This window comes from Homo sapiens, chromosome 14 (genome assembly GCF_000001405.40).
Source record: "Homo sapiens chromosome 14, GRCh38.p14 Primary Assembly".
NCBI lineage: Eukaryota > Metazoa > Chordata > Mammalia > Primates > Hominidae > Homo > Homo sapiens.
This window is the reverse complement of record NC_000014.9, coordinates 49,510,901-49,524,555: the sequence shown is the minus strand read 5'-3', so window position 1 is coordinate 49,524,555 and position 13,655 is coordinate 49,510,901. Positions and strand designations below refer to the sequence as shown.

The window sequence follows — 13,655 nt, the reverse complement described above, 5'->3', positions numbered from 1 at the left end:
CCTTCACATTGTGGGTTAGGGCTTTGTCTTAGTCAGTTCAGTCTGTTTAAAAAAAAATACCTTAGACTGGGTAATTTACAAATAATAGGTATTTATTTCTTGTGGTGGGGCATGGTGACCCATGCCTGTAATTCCAGCACTTTGGGAAGCTGTAGTGGGAGGATTGTTGAGCCCAGGAGTTCAAGACCAGCCTGGGCCACATAGTGAGACCTTGTCTCTCTCTCTCTTTTTCTTTTTAGAGAAATTTATTTATCATAGTTCTGGAGGCTGGGAAGTCCAAGATCATGGTGCCAGGAGATTCAGTGTCTGGGGAGGGCTTGCTCTCTGCTTCCGAGAGAAGCACTGCATCCCCACTGTGTCCTCACATGGCAGAAAGACAAAAGGGGCTAGCTAGTTCTCTTGAGCCCTTTTGTAAGGACACTAATCTCACTTATGAGGGTGGAGCCCTCATGACCCAATCATTTCTTAAAGATCCCGGCTGTTAATATTATCTCACTGGGGATTAAGTTTCAATGTGAATTTTGGAAGGACACATTCAAACCACAGTAGGCTTCAACATATGAATTTTGGAAGGACACAAACATTCAGTGCATAACAACTACCATTTAGGTGACCACCCTATGTCAGGTGTTGATTTGTTGTAAGATTCTGCTCCAGGGATTTTTAAAAGTTCAGGGATGCCCCAGAGAGTCCTATGAATGGGCTTTAAGATCTGTCAACTCCCTGAAATATTATGCAAAATTTTCAGTATTTTTTTCCCCTTGGACCAAAGGTCTACCTTTCTGCTGAGTTTCAAAGGGGTCTGTGCTACCCTCACTGGTCGTCTCACCTCCAAACCCTTCTCATCCCAACATGGTGTACCTGGGCCAGAACCCCTCCTGAAACATCCCTCTTATACCAATCTGCCATTCAGACTTGTCTGCTTCCTTTCAAGTCCACTTGATCTGGTACCATCCTACTTTTCCAGCCTTAATTTACACTCGTCTCTTGTCCTGAACCCTTTGATCTGGTAGCCTTATCTCCTCTGTCATAGTTTTGACTATTTTCCTGTACTCAGCAGGGATCCTGGGCAGTGGGGAGGAGTAGGGGGCTCTCACTGGAACACCCATGGAGAGCTGCAGAGGGCAATGCAGAAGAGGGAGGAAGCTGGTACACGTTGCTAAATGTGCCTAGTGGATCCTTGTTGTCTGACCCTGGAAAAGTGAAGTTTTAGAGCAGGGGATTCATGGAATATGTGTTTAAGAGAAGAGCTCCCAAAGATTTAATGACCTAGTTTAATCAGCCAAGAAGATGGAAACAGGGTGGTGGTTTGGCTGACATTTTGAACCTGTCTTCTCACGGAGGGTGGCAGGAGGGCTCAGGTGTGGGCAGTAAGGAAGCCGCTGCTGAATGCAGGTGAGAGAGCACAGAGGAGGGTGTATATGGGGCACCATTCTAGGTCAGCATCAAGGAGACCAGTAGAAGGTAGCTGGCCAGTCAGTCAATGAATATGTGTTGTATAGCTACTGCATACCTGGAAGAACTCCATCCATGGGTGTGAATTTCAGAAGCTGGATTTTAGTAACTAGATGGAGACTAAAGGCATAGAGCCTGTGGTAGAGGAATTGGACATTGGGCAGATTATAAAAGCAGGAACAGTTACAGGGGCCCAAGGTTGGAATCTCATTTATCACAGAGTCAGGCAGGAACACAACTGATGTCTTAACTTGAGCATATGAATAGACTATAATAGAGTATATTTAATAGAATATCCTTGACTAACACCAAGGATAGAGTCGCTGCCTCAATCACAAGGGTTAAGTCTTTAACAGGTAGAATTTCAGACACCATGAAAGATAATAGATAATATCTCACATTTGTTGAGCACTTACTATGTGCTAGGTACTGTTCTAAGCACTTAACGTGTATTGTTTTATTCAGTCTTCACAACAACTTTGTGAAGTCAGATGTACTATCATCTTCATTTTTTAGAGGTGGAAACTAAAGAATGGAATGGTTAAGGATTAACTTATTCAAGGTCACGTACACATTTATTTAGTGATGGCAGTGGCATTTGAATCTAGGCTGGCCATTTTTTAGCGGGAGACCCTACTTCAGGCCCTCAAATTCACCGCATAGGTAGTTGACAGCTCTGTGAATCTGACTCCCAAATGTACTGCAGCTTTCAGGGCACAGACAATGCTCAGTGAATATTGCTGTCTTACTAACTGTTGTCTATTGCCTTCACCCCTCTATTTCCACTGCATACCCCCCTACCTTCTACCCTGTGGATGGTCCTGACATTAAGCATTGAAAAGGAAGAGACAGAATGGGGAAGGTTGAGAGTAAAGTAACAGAAATGATTCAGGAAAGGAAGGGATTGAAGTATGTGGAAAGACAAAAAGAGATATATTTATCCAACTGGGTTGGGTGATAGCTAAGAAAGGATGTGAACACCCAAGAGGGCAAAGACTGGGCCAGATCTGTCTTTTCTCTAAGGCACTTTACAGCTCCAGCATCAATACTTCTCTATCTGCAGTCTCTTGCTGAAATCCAACAAGGATTTATTGAGTGTAGGAGGCTTTGCTTTTAGAGTCAATGTGTTTTCAGAGGCTGTGTCTTAAGTGGATCAGTTGCAAGGCAAAAACCCAAGGGCACCTGAGCTAGTGCCTTCATCTGAGCTGATGTATTTTGGCATCATTGTTGGAAGTCATCAGATGAGTGGGATAAGATAGGAAGATATGATTTTTACACCTGAAAGGAACCTTAAATATCACATAATCTTCATTTTATAGGTGCAAAAAAGAAGCTCCAAGCAGTTAAGTGATCTGTGCAAAGTCATATAGTGAATTGGTGATGGGGGCAGTGGGGAGGCATCCTGATTGGAAAGAACATCTTAAACAAAAGCTGCAAAAAAGGGCCAGGTTCACCCATAACACAGATATATTGAGGGACCCCCTTTTACAAAGCCCAATTCTAATCTCTGAGATCTTGCCATGAGTGCGACAGACAAGGTCCCTGCTCTCCTAGTGCTTTCATCTTCATAGAGATGATAGGAGTTGTTGGCAAAGTCCATGTTACACCCCACCATCCTCCTTCCTGGATTGGTACCCCAGTAGCCAAAAGTTGATCGATAAAAACACAGCTCTGTCAAAGGGTCTCTCTTTAATTCATGAGTACCTATCTCAAATGAGCACTCGATATAGCTCAACAGTTTTATTATACTTCTTTAATATTTTTGTTTTTCTTTCCATTTGTAGTGATTTCAAAATATTTCGGCAAATTCTTGGGCATTTCTTCCATTAAGAGATAGAGTCTATGTCCCATTTTCTGGAGTATGGGCAGCTCTTTGTGACTGCTTTCATGACTTGAACACAGCTGAAAGGACATCAGGTAACTTCTGAGGCTAGGTTAGAAAAATCCATGAAGATTCTATTTATTTATCTTAGGGCATTGGACACCTTAAGCTGCCATGTGAATCCACATATATAGCTATATAAACAAATTATATATATATATATATATATGTATGTGTATGTATATGTAGGTGTATGTATATATATGAATACATATTTAAAATATATATATAAAGAGAGAAAGAGAGAGACATTTTTGAGGAGCCTCAGCTGTTGCCTCCCCAGCCCAGGAGATAGGCTTACATGTGAATAGGCCTTCCAGATGACCCCAGCCCCACCCACCATCTGACTGCAAACTTATGAGGGACTCTAAGCGAGAACTGCCTAGCTGGGCATATTTGACTTCCAGAATCATAAGTAAAATAAATTATTATATTCTTGTAAGCCAATGTTTTGGGGTCATTTATTATGTAGCAGTAAATAACTGGACCACCCCCCTCCAAACGTGCGATTTCACACCTTTTCTTTTTTCAAATCTCTAACGGTGCTTTCTCACTTCTCACTTCAAAGGACATGATAGTCCTTTGTCATAATGCATTGAGAAAGCAGAAGCAAGCAATCAGATTTCTTCATCTCCCTTCTCCAAACCTACCTCCCTCCCAGCATCTGTACCCAAACTATCCACCCTCTTGCTAGAGACAATGAAGGGGGTGAGGTATCCCTCCCTCATCCTACCAAAGGCCAACCCTCCACTTGGGCAGATAACCTCACCTTGGCTAACTGGCTGCTTCTGCTCTGAACTTTGAACCTTGATAGAGGAGGACCAGAGCAGACTCAATGTGGCAGCAGAATTGAGGACCCAATGGCTCAGTGAGAGCATCAGTGTGGCCACTGTCTGTGCATGTCCTAGGTGGCGTGGTCATCACCATAAGTTTCTGTGGCATCACGGTGGTGCTCTGGGCTGCCTTGGACCCTGCTCATTTTTAAGCTAGTTCCCCAGCCTTCCCATCAACTTTGTTAGTCATTTGATGCCTTCAGATGCATTTCTTTTCTGTTTAATGTAGCTAGATTGTTTCTAGTTTTTTTCAGCCAAGAACCCTGACATGTAGAGGAGTGATCACTCATTCTAAAAAAGGTCTTGTTAAGGAATTTTTTTCTTCCTTCCATGTTTCCCTCCCTCTTTTCTTTCTCTACTTCCTTCCTTTCCTTCCTTCCCTCCCTCCCTCCTTTCCTGCCTCCCTCCTTTCCTCCCTCCCTTTCTTCTTTCCTTCCTTCCTTTCTTCTTTCCTTCCTTCCTCCCTCCCTGCCTCCCTCCCTCCCTCCTTCTGGCCTTCCTGCCTTCCTTTCCTCTCTCCTTTTCTTCCTTCTTTCTTTTTTTCCTGATGGAGTTTTCTCTTAAAATGTTTATTTATTAAAGGAAGATATAAAGGAGAAAACAAAAGGGCTCATAATTATGCTTCACAATAGCCTTTTGTGGACAGTTTCCATTTCTACTTCGTTAATGAAATAACTGCCACATACATGTGGTTAGAAAATCTAAACAGTGCCAGTAGACATACACTGAAAAGGTGCCTCCTTTCCTAGTCCCTCCCTCTTAAGGAAACTACATTTATATAATCACACACAGATACATCACATACTTTTAAAATAACACCATTTGTGTCATTCATTCATTCATTCATTTATTTTTTGGGTCTAGGTTCTGTTTTAGGGATATACTGATGAGCAAGGCAGATATAATTCCCATCTCCAAAGAGTTTACATTTGTGGGGCATACAGTAACCTTCATGAGGACCTTCAAATGCATCCCTTTTCCTTGCCCAAGTTCTGATCAAATTGAAATATAAAAGATTGACAGATTACATCATTTACCTCTTTTATTGCTAAAGGCTATGTTGGAAGATATAGGATAGTGTGCAAACCGCATGGACTTCCTAACTCGGATGCCCGGAGTTGGGCACCTATACCCACCTAGTCACCGGCAGGGCTGACCATAGCCGACTTCCCTATTGCGGGGACTGCCTGGTGAATATCCTGGACAGAAGAGAGCTCCTGTTCCCTGTGGACTTCTCTCTCTAAAGAAGTAAAAGGGAGTTGCTGAGCAGAGCATGTCTAGTTATTCTTCCGAAATTCGCCAGTCACAAAAGTCCCTCTACCTCCCCTGGGTTGAGCGCCTCAAGGGGCAGAGAGAGGTCAGCAGTGTATCACTGCCAGATTCTCTCCATACAAAAGGAAAATTCAGAAGAGGGAACAAGTGTTCTCTTTTCACAGGGAATAAAGAGAAATCACCCCATAACCAAACATACAGAGGCAAAATCCTACTGTGACAAGTCCCATAAGTGGGGGTACATGGTAATTAATCATTTATTGATGGGCATTTGTCACTTTATTTTACTATTATAGAAATGTAGCAGTGAACATTCTGGGACATTGATCTAATAATATATTGCCACCTAGCTAGTGATAGGTGAATTCCAGGAGTGTAGTTGCTGGATCAAAGGAAATGTGCATTTCAAATTTTGATAGCTATTACCAAATTGCTCTCCAAGAATGTCGTACCAATCTCTATTGTCCTTGACAGTATTAAAAGAAAGTAGTTACAGGTTAAAACAATGGATGTCCAAAGTCTGTTTTATATATATATATTTTCATTTTATAGGCAGAATCATTTTTAAAAAAATTTTTTTACTGGCAGTGTCAACCAGATGCAGCATCAATTTTTTGACTGTAGATGATTTAGAGTTAGGGTCAACTTGTGTTTGGTGAGACGTACTCCTCTATCTTCTTCCTGGGATTGAGCGGTTCTTTGGGTTGATGAGTAGGAAAGAAGTGCTATGAGCTGCTTCCCTGCATGAGCTCCGAGACTTCCTGTTTAAAAGCACTGCGAGAACCGCTGACCCCATTTCTTTCCCGATGTAATTATTCTTTTGGAAAGTTGGAAAGTTGGCGCTAACCTTAAGGTATGTGAAACACAAGGATCCAGTGTGGTTGAAGCTTTAGAACCAAGATAACCATTGCTTTTTCTATCAAACAGCCTGGCAGGGGAACAGTTTGCCCCTTGCCTCTTGCCCTGTCATTTAAAAAAAAAATCAGATATATAGTTTTTATTTATCTATTTATTTTTCCATGGGTTATTGGGGTATAGATGGTGTTTGGTTACATGAATAAGTTCTTTAGTGGTGATTTGTGAGATTTTGGTGCACCCATCACCCGAGCAGTACACACTGCACCCTTTTCGTAGTCTTTTACCCCTCCTCCCCTCCCACCCTTCCCCTCAAGTTCCTAAATTCCCTTGTATCATTCTTATGCCTTTGTGTCCTCATTGCTTACCTCCCACATATCAGTGAGAACATACCATGTTTAGTTTTCCATTCCCGAGTTACTTCACTTAGAATTATAGTCTCCAATCTCATCCAGGTCGCTGTGAATGTCGTTAATTCACTCCAAAGTCTGTTTTAAATGATTCAAATGGAAAGCTCAATTTATAACAAGTAATCTAAAATGGTAACAGGTAAGTTTGTAGAGTGTTTTCTGGGCACTTGACTTATGATCTTATCTAATACTTATTCCTATGAGGTATTATGATTTCCATTTCATAAATGATGATATTGAAGCTAAACATGGTTAAACTGCTCAAGGTTGCAGAGTTTTTTTTTTTTTTTTTTTTTTTTTTTTTTTTACGATAGGGCCTCACTCTGTTGCCCATTGGCATGATCCCGGCTCACTGCAACCTCCGCCTCCCAGGTTCAAGCGATTCTCCTGCCTCAGCCTCCTGAGTAGCTGGGATTACAGGCACACACCACTATGCCCAGCTAATTTTTGTATTTTTAGTAGAGATGGGGTTTAACAATGTTGGCCAGGCTGGTCTCGAACTCCCGAGCTCAGGTGATCTGCCCACCTCAGCCTCCCAAAGTGCTGGGATTACAGGCGTGAGCTACCGCGGCCAGCCCAAGATCACACAGTTTTAAGTAGCAGAGACAATTTAAACCTAGGCTGGTTCCTGCTGTTGTTCTCAACCTTGGACTCCACAACACTGCGTGGCAACTCTGCAAAGAAGAAAAGATCGTAATAAAATGTGGTGCTGAAAGAAGATGAATTCTCTTAAGAAAAGATACTGCTTTCATGCCAATATTCCTGATAATAAAGACTATGAAGGAATCATTGACATTGTATAGCATATGTAAGAAGAACTGCTAAATAAAATGTTTTCCAAAGATTTGCCTGAAACATCAGCTGGGTTTTGATGCTTGCTGGTTGTTTAAAATGTTGATTCATGTTGAACAACGTTTATTTATTGAAAGTACCATCTATTTAAATCAAATTATCTCCATAACTGAATATTTATATGGCTGCTTTATTGAATATTCCTAAACATTTTGCCCAAACCACAAACCATTTATTCACAGTTATAAATGTTTACTTCTTTAGAGTAAAAAATTGGTTAAAAGGAACTTAAAAGCATATTGACATTTCTGTAGTTTGTGAACATCTGCAGTGCGTTCTGCACATTAGCTGCTAGATATTTCTGCCTTAGCAAATGGTTAGATATTCTAATTATTTATGTTCAATAAAATATTTGAAATTTACACAGCATCTCTTTTATTGTGTCATTTAACAGCAGCAGCTCTTGGCTCAGGGACAGGCCACTAGATGGATTTAGAGATTTTTCAAACACCTCAGCTTTGTGCCAGCATTTAATTAGCTGAAACCCCATTTATTTCACTGTACACTCCAGCACCATGAACATTAGGCCTTAAATAACCCTGGGCTGAACAGATGCCAGTTTGAACTGTGCAAAAAGCAATAAACAACGTGATGTAGTGTCTCACAGTTTTATTCACTATACTGACGGTTCCAAGAAACCAGATTTGGAAACCTTACTGATATCTATAAAGGATCATTGACCCTCTGATTGATGGGCAACGATGTACTTATCTTGCTTAGGGGAAGATGAGCGGTCAAGAAGTCCAGAGGACTGGGGGAAGCCTTGATGTCCTCACCTGTAAAATGGGGCTTCAGGGGAGGATGACCAATGGTCCTCTGGATGGAACTTTCGTGACCTCTTTTGCTCTCTCATCTATGACTCCAGTGATTTGACAGGATTCTAATTATTGAGTCCCAAGCCTGAGAGGGACTTTGGTGCTTCCTTTCTTTGTAAGTGTGTCAACTATGTTTTTGCTGTTTGAATGATCCGTATTTTATTGCTCTTGAATCAGATGGGGGCCCTCTTTTCCAGGATTACACTGAACATCTTTGCTTCCCAAACACATGCACCTTTCGGCATCAGCCTTAAAAGTGCCCTGTCTTGGTTTCTACAATAGCAGTAGTGAACATGTTGGGCAAACTGAGAATGAGCCAGGTTGGATCAAAAAGGGACATACCTGCCAGGAAGGTGGCTCGGAAGCCTGACTCTAGATGTCTTAACTAGCCCTCCTCTCTCTCCCACTCCATCCTATGAGCCTCACATTCTTTCTCTCTATCTATAGTTTCTATTACAGAATTTTCATGGAGAAGCATAGGCCTTTTCATTATTTTTCCATTATAATATCTGTGATTATTGATTCTCAGTTACTCCTTGAGAGTGGTGATAATATATTACTCATCTCTGGAATCCTAGTGTGTAGAACAGTGGCCCCTCCCTAAGAAAGAAAAGGTTTGTTGAACGAATGAATGAGTTCTGGAAGGTTTTTAGGGGGCAATAATGATATCTTACATCTGCGTATACAATAGCCCCCCTTATTTTCAGGGGATACATTTCAAGAACCCCCAACTGATGGCTGAAACTGAGGATAGTACCAAACCCTATATATATATATTATGTTTTTTCGATCTGATAACCCAGAAGGTGACTAAGTGACTAATAGGTAGTGTAGACAGTGTGAATATGCTGGACCAAGGCTTAGTTCATGTCCCTGTTGGGATGGAGTGGGATGGTGAGAAATTTCAACATGCTGCTTAAAACGACATGCAATTTAAAACTTATGAATTGTTTATTTCTTGAATTTTCCATGTAACATTTTTGGGCCATGTGGTTAATCGTGGATAACAAATCTTGGAAAGCAAAATCTTGAATAAGGAGGGACTACTATATAGGGCTTTTCCAGTTTTTCAAAGAACTTTGATATTCTCATTTGTTTCTCAAAATTGTCCTATATTTGGGCTATCCAATCTCTCCTATTTTTACAGATGAAGAAATTGATATTCAAAATTCATGATAGAAGTGAGTCTAGGTTTCCTAATACTAAAGTGTCATGTTGTACAGAACATACAATTTTAGTCTTTTTTGTTTTTATTATTTTAAAGTTACAAAAGTAATAGATAAATGTATTTTTGTTGTAAAATTTCAAGTAATACAGAAGTATAAAGAACAAAAGGTAATTTCCCTTGTCCTACTGACCCCATTCTTTGTCCTCCGCACTGCTTCTCCTCACCCAGCCTCTACAGTGTGGTGTGTGTACACATACATCATTTAACAATACATTTTGGAATCTCTTCCATGTTAGACATTCAAGTCCACCTATTTTCCAACAGCTGCTTAGACTTCCCAGTATATGGGCATACCATATATATATATATTTGTAAAAATTGCTTCTCTATTTATTGTATTTAAGGTTGTTTGCAACTTTCAATTTTTACAAACAGTGCAACATTTCAGATCCTTGTACATACATTTGATGTACATGTACAACAATTTCTGTAGGATATGATTCTTATTTCATCTAAGGAGGAATTCAATTGCTAATGGCTGGTTGAGTTTGTGTTTGTTGGTTTTCTCTGTTAAGAAGTTCTTGCTTATTTTCAGTCTAGAACTCCTTTTTAGCAATTTAAGCTTGTTTACCTTGTAGGTGGTTTTACCTCCCCTCATAGGATTCAATGATGGCACATACTGCTTTAATTGTGTCCTAAGAGTAGGAGAGATATTACAGTTTAAGAGAGAAAGAGCATTTTTGGTTTTTCTTCTCCATACCTCATGGCAGAAACTGCTAAATGTCCCCACAACCCAGTGCCATTCACCTCCATGTTCCTTACTAAAAACTCAGATTTTGTTTGGGGCAATACTGGAACAGAGTAGGCTGACGCAGTGGCTCACGCCTGTAATCCCAGCACTTTGAGAGGCCTAGGCAGGATCACTTGAACTCAGGAGTTTGAGAACAGCCTGGGCAACATGGCAAAACCTCATTTCTACTAAAAATACAAAAATTAGTCCGGCATAGTGGTGGGGGCCTGTAGTCCCAGCTACTCGGGAGGCTGAGGTGGGAGGATTGCTTGAGCATGGGAGGTAGAGGTTGCAGTGAGATGGGATCACACCACTGCATTCCAGCCTGGGCAACAGAATGAGACCCTGTCTCAAAAACAAACAAACAAACAAACAAACCCTGTAAAACTAGATTTCCAAGGCTTTCTTGCAGAGTAACAGAATTCTTGCCAGTGGGATGTAAGTCCAGGAATGCTATTCTTTTCCTGAAAAAAGGGGAAGGTTCAGTAGGCACGTATCTTTACCTTTAGTCTTTTGCCTTTCCCCTTCCCTGGAAGAAAGATTCAGTGACTGGGGGTTAAGCAGTCATCTTGTGCCAATGAGGGCAAAAGTCACATGCTAAAAAGGTGGAAGAGCCAGAAGTTAGAAGAAGCCTGGATCCTTTGTGATTTCCTTGTGCAGCTGTTCTCATCATGGTGGGATTGCTTCTGAATTTCTGGTTCTGTAAGAAAAATAAACCATAATTTGTGAAGACAGTGTAGTCAAATATCTATTGCATATAACCAAACTCAATCCTAACAGTCATACCTTAGTTGTTGAACAAATATGACTCTGCCCAAGTGAGTGAGTTATCTAAAAAATTCTTATCTCTGGCCTTCAGAACCATGTGTTCCATGTCAAAGACTAAGTTTTAAAAAATATTCTTGGCTGGGCATGGTGGCTTATACCTGTAATCCCAGCACTTCGGGAGGCCAAGGCGGGCAGATCAGGAGGTCAAGAGATTGAGACCATCCTGGCCAACATGGTGAAACCCTGTCTCTACTAAAAATACAAAAATTAGCTGGGTGTGGTGGCATGCACTTGTAGTCCCAGCTACTGGGAGGCTGAAGCAGAAGAATCACTTGAACCTGGGAGGCAGAGTTTGCAGTGAGCTGAGATCATGGCACTGCAGTCCAGCCTGGTGACAGAGCAAGTCTCTGTCTCAAAAAAAAAAACATATATATATACACACATATATATTCTTATTTATTGCTTATTTTGCTTGTTAGCTTTTAATGTAATTATTTTTTGAACCACCATACAAAAAATTAAAAATATCCTGAGGATCATAACAATCATTTGTGCCTGCTTAGTGGGTTTTTTATTGTTTGTTTGTTTCTTTGTCTTTGGCATTGGGCCTTCTGTTCTATGGGAAACTGCATATAAAACTTCTAACATGGGAGGCCCCTTTTTCTCAGGAGCCCAGGAGGAAAAGAGTGTCACAAGCCTTGTAGTCAGGTTGCTATCTTTAGAGCATATAGAGTGGATTATTTCCTCCTGGTACCAGGTTTGAAGTGGGGTGGTAGGGGGCTGTCAAATGACAATAATGTAATATTGTTTAAAATAAATATTTAATCAAAGTAAAAGCATGTGGGAGAAACATCTCTTTCACTTTGTTGACAGGTTGAATTTGCTTTCATTTAAAAAAAAGTTTGAAAATCCTTGATACTACATACTTTGAAGTGATTAATCTACTGGAGTCATTACCTTCCTGAGTCATTGAGAGAGGAATGAGTGTGTTTGGGTGGGGTGGGAATTGCTGGAGAATGGTGTGGGAGTTAAAATGAAAAAGTTTGGCATATATTATACATTTGGAAAAGAAGGATGTGTCAGTTTCCTGGGGCAGCTGTAACAACAGACTGGGTGGCTTAAAACGACAAACATTTACTGTCTCACAGCTCGGGAGGCCAGAAGTCCCAAGCGGGCTGCCAACAGGGCCATGCTCCCTCTGAAACCTGCAGGGCTTCCTTCTTTGCCTCTTCCTAGCTTTTGGTGGTTTGCCAACAATCTTTGGAGTTTCTTGGTAGGTGGATATATTACTCTAACCCTCTGTCTTCACATAGCATTCTCCCTGTGCATCTTCACATCATCTTTCCTCTGTGTCTGTCTCTATGCCCAAATTTCCTCTTCTTTTTTTTTTTTTTTCTGAGACTGGGTCTTGCTCTGTCACCCAGGCTGTACAGTGGCATGATCTCAGCTCACTGCAACCTCTGCCTCCTGGGTTCAAGCGATTCTCCTGCCTCAATCTCCCAAGTATCTGGGATTACAGGTGTGCACCACCATGCCTGGCTAATTTTTGTATTTTTAGTAGAGATGGGGTTTCGCCAGGTTGGCCAGGCTGGTCTTGAACTTCTGACTTCAAGTGACCCACGCACTTTGGCCTCCCAAAGTGCTGGGGTTACAGGCGTGAGCCACTGCATCCAGTCTCTCCTTTTTTATTAAATAAGACCACCACCATATTGGATGAGGGTTCACCCCCGATGACTCCATTTTGACTCAGTTACTTCTGTAAAGACCCTATTTCCAAAATGAATCACATTCTGAAGTACTTGAGGGTTAGGACTACAACATATTTTTTTGGGGGGGCGGGGTGGGAAACAGTTCAACCCATAACACAGGGTATGATGCGTAATTTTATAGATCAACTGGACTGGGGTAAGGGATGCCCAGATGGCTGGGAAATCATTGCTTCTGGGTGTATCTGCGAGGGTGTTTCTGAAGAGATCAGTATTTGAATTAGTGGGCTGAGTAAAGAAGATGCCCTCACCAATGTGGGTGAGTATCATCCAATCTGTTGAGGGCCTGAGAGAACAAAAAGGTGGAAGAAACGTGAATTTGTTCTCTCTTCTTGAGCTGGGACCTCTATCCTCTCCTGCCCTTGGACATCCATGCTCCTGGTTCTCAGGCCTTTGAACTTGGACTGGGACTTATACCATTGGCTCCCCTGGTCTTCAGGCCTTTGGGTTTGTACTGGGGCTACACCACTGGCTTTCCTGGGCCTCCAGCTTGCAGATGGCAGACTGTGGGACTCCTCAGCCTTCATAATCCCATGAGACAATACCTTACGGTAATTTTTTTTTTTTTTGATACAGGGTCTTGCTCTCTTATCCAGGCTGGAGTGCAGTGGTACAGTCATGGCTCACTGAAGCCTCACACTCCTAGGCTCAAGCATTCCTTCCACCTCAGCCTCCCGAGTAGCTGAGACTACAGACATGCACCACCATGCACAGCTAATTTTTAAATTTTTAGTATTTTTAAATTTTGAGGTCTTGCTATGTTTTCCAGGCTGGTCTTGAACTTCTGAC

At 41.5% G+C, this 13,655-nt stretch overlaps 1 long non-coding RNA gene across 1 annotated transcript in view; it reads left to right on the top strand.

Annotated features, from left to right (window-relative positions):
• LOC107984701 (uncharacterized) overlaps nucleotides 1-3,458 on the top strand; it is a 29,554-nt gene extending 26,096 nt beyond the window's left edge. Inside the window, exon 3 of the long non-coding RNA XR_001750760.3 lies at nucleotides 3,240-3,458. This is a non-coding gene — a long non-coding RNA (uncharacterized LOC107984701). The remainder of the gene's footprint in view (nucleotides 1-3,239) is intronic.
• The last annotated feature ends 10,197 nt before the right edge of the window (nucleotides 3,459-13,655 follow it).